This window comes from Homo sapiens, chromosome 2, assembly GCF_000001405.40.
Source record: "Homo sapiens chromosome 2, GRCh38.p14 Primary Assembly".
Taxonomy (NCBI): Eukaryota; Metazoa; Chordata; class Mammalia; order Primates; family Hominidae; genus Homo; species Homo sapiens.
The window spans coordinates 123,838,538-123,842,156 of NC_000002.12; the positions used below are offsets into that span (position 1 = coordinate 123,838,538).

Sequence of the window (3,619 nt, forward strand, 5' to 3'; positions counted from 1 at the left end):
TTACATTCAGCAAAAAGAAAGAAAAGCCCCATATGATTATCTCAATAGATGCAGAAAAAGCAGTAGGTAAAATTCAACATAACTTCATAATAATAAAGTAAAACTATTTTTCACTCCATTAAAAAAAGATTTTTTTCACTCCACTAAAATACCCGCAATAAACTATGCACAGGAGGTACATACCTCAACATGACAAAGGCCGTACATGACAAACTTACAACTTCATTATACTGAATGGGGAAAAGCTGAAATCCCTTCTTTTGAGAACTAGAATAAAACAAGGATGTCAAATTTTACCATTTTTATTCAACATAGTACTGGAAGTACTAGCCAGAGCAATCAGGTAAGAGAAAGAAATAAAAGGCATCTCAACTGGAAAAGAGGTGGTAAAATTGTCCCTTTTTGCAGGTGACATGATCCTATATTTAGAAAATCCTAATTCCTTAACCAAAAAAATACTTAGAACCGATTAAAAGATTCCATAAAGTTGCAGAAAACAAAATTTACATTAAAAAGTCAGTAAGATTTTTACACACCCAAAACGAACAAGATGAAAAAGAAATAAAGAAGACAATCCTGTCTATTATAGCTACCAAAAGAAAGATATCTAGGAATAAATTCAACATGGAAGCGAAAGGTCTCCACAAGGAACATTACAAATGACTGATAAAAAATATTCTCTCTCTCTCTCTCTCTCTCTCTATATATATATATATATATATATATATATATTTTTTTTTTTTTTTTTCCCAAGATGGCAGATTAGGGGCTTTCAGCATGCCTCCGCCATTTGGAAATAGCAAGATAGTACATAGAAATAAATTCTGTGAGCTTTAAATCAAGAAGGAAAATGGGAATCCTCTTGAATCATGAAGGTCACCCCAGATCCTGAAGAAGATAATCTGGCAAACTGCCCCTGTGGCAGCATGTGGTTGATAAAAATGAGTAAAGACCTGGTAGGTGAGAGGGCAGAGAGTCTGTCTCTGTGACTCACCTTTCCACTGGGAATCCAAGCAACCTAGGCCAAGGGAGAACACTGTTTCTCTCAAGCCCTGGGGCTAACTTGGGGAGAGGCTTGGAGATGCTGTGATGGAAAGACACTGGAAAAAGCTGCAGACATTTTCCCAGATCCAAGACTGAGAGCAGTACACTATTTTAAATCTAGGTATATAGAAAGACATACCTTAGTGACCTGGCAGTGTGGCTGCACAGGCATTGTAGTTTTGGCCAGAGATTGGAGCACCTTCTCTTGAGTGGGGTTGAGGCCTCCACAGTCAGAACCATGGACATCACCCCAGGAGCAGGGCTAGAATTGTGCTCTTCCCCATGGTAAGCCTAGGCAGGAGGGGAACTGCTACAGCTGCTATTTTTCCTGGATGGTGAGACTTGTAGCCTGGACCAGCTTGGTGACTTGAAACCAATCTGTGTGTGCCATTGCTGTGTGTCTTCCCCGGCTCTCCTAAGATCATGGTGCAGCAAGGGCCACTCTGCTCCACACCTAGGCAGAAATCCAGACATTTGGAACACTCACTTGCCTGAACCAGAAGCCTGAGCTACCCCACCCTTCCTAGGATTAGGTTGTGGTTCAGTGAGGCACTCTGCTCCACACCCAGGCAGATCCCATGGAATTTGGCATACCCACTCACCTGGTTCAGCAGCCTGAACTGCTCCACCCTTCCTGAATATAGATCATGGTGCAGCAGAGCTCCCTCTGCTGCATGCCCAGGCAGGTCTGCAAAAATGAAAAGCACCCATTCACCTAATTCAGTAGCTGGAAGTGCCCCAACCTTCATGGGCATATATTGTTGTAAAGTGGGGCTCTCTTTGTTCCACACTGAGGCAAATCTCCAGGAATTTGGACCACCAGCTAGCCTGGATCAGCAGGCTGATATGCCCTCCCCTTACTGTGCAGAGATTCTGGCACAGGAGGACCCTCTCTTCTACATGCCTAGCAAATCTCCAGGCATTTAGAGCACCTGCTTGCTTTGTTCAACACCCTGAGTAACCTGCCCCTCTTGTGCAGAGCTCTTGATGCAGGGGAACCCTCCCTGCTCCACATTCAGACATTCAGATCACTGTTCATTTGGGTCAGCAGCCTTATCTGCCCCACCCTTCCTATGCAGAGATCCTGGTGCAGGGAGGCCCTTTCTGCTTCACATCCAGGCAGATCGCCAGGCAATCAGAGAACCCACTCATCTGAATCAACAACCGGAGCCACCCCACCCTTCCTGGACATAGATTGTGGTGCAGCAAAGCCCTCTCTGCTTCACATCTAGGCATATCTCTAGGCATTCAGAGAACCGGCTTGCCTGGATCAGCAACCTAATCCACCTCACCTTCCTGCACAGAGACCCTGGTGAAGGAGAGCCATCTCTGCTACATGCCTAGGCAGATATCTAGACATTCAGAACACCTGCTTGCCTGGTTCCTGGTTCAGCAGTCTGAGTCCCCACAGCATTCCTGTGCAGAGATCTTGGTACAAGGGGTCCCTTTCTGCTCCATGTACCATCTGACAGATCTCCAGGCATCTGAGATCAGAAACCATCTAAAACCTGCTGAAACCATCTTCTGGATTAGAAGTTTAAGCTTCCCACCCCCCTTCAATTTGTGTGCAGAGAACTTAATGCTGAGGTGATTTCTCAGCTCTATGCCTAGGCACAGCTCTGGGTGCTTGTTGACTTCCCACTGGCTTCTCCCACAGTGTTGGTGCTTGTGCTTTCCATCAGGGGACCAGTAGGAGGATCTGCCCAGTCCAATCTCACATTTCATGGTTCGTGTCCCTTGGGCTAAGAAGCAAGCTCAGAATACTGTGCATTCCATATATCAGACCATTATCTGAGGCAACAGAAAGCTTCTGCCAACAAATAAAAAATGAAGTGTATACGCACCCATGTTGGCCATAGTCAGCTCTTACCTATTAGTGCCATCTGTGGGCTTGTGGGTCAAACTCCATATCCTATAACCTACTGAAAGAAGTGCATAGAACTATAGAGGCAAATCTACAAGATCCTGCCCAGCCTTCTACACAGTCACATCTCCCAGCAAGGATTAAAAAGGGAAAGGGAAAGAGAATGTAATAATAATAACGTAAAGGAAAAAAAATGCTCCTGCATGAAAATAATTACAAGAATTAAAGTTCCAGTGTCTCCAGATGAGAAGAAGCAAGTGCAAGAATCCTAGCACTATGAGAAATCTGAAAGTAATACCAGCAAGGGATTACAGTAGTTCTCCAACAATGCTCCCAAACCAAAATGGGAACTCAGAAATGACAGATAACATATCCAAAGCATGGATTACAATGGATTTCAATGAGATCCAAGACAAGTTGAAAACCAAAACAAAGAAACTTCTAAAGCAATTCAAGAAATGAAGGAAAATATAAACACCTTTAAAAAAATCAATCAGAGCTTCTGGAATTGAAAAACTCCCATAAGAAATTTCAAAATACAGTTGAAAGCTTTAATAATAGAGCCAACCATCAGAAGAAAGAATTTCAGAGCTTAAAAACCAATCTTTTGAAATAACTCCATCAAACAAAAATAAAGATAAAACAATTTAGAAAAATAAACAGTTTTTGAGAAACATAAGATTATGTAAAACAAACAAGCCTATGAATTAT

The 3,619-nt window shown here is 42.8% G+C and overlaps 1 annotated feature.

Moving 5' to 3' along the window:
• Positions 925–2,124: an enhancer, noted in NCBI's record as "CDK7 strongly-dependent group 2 enhancer chr2:124597039-124598238 (GRCh37/hg19 assembly coordinates)". NCBI's record gives its function as "activates an origin of replication core promoter dependent on BRD2, BRD4, P300/CBP, MED14 and CDK7 cofactors, with strong dependence on CDK7, by STARR-seq in HCT116 cells {active_cell/tissue: HCT116}" and the evidence as "EXISTENCE:reporter gene assay evidence [ECO:0000049][PMID:35650434]".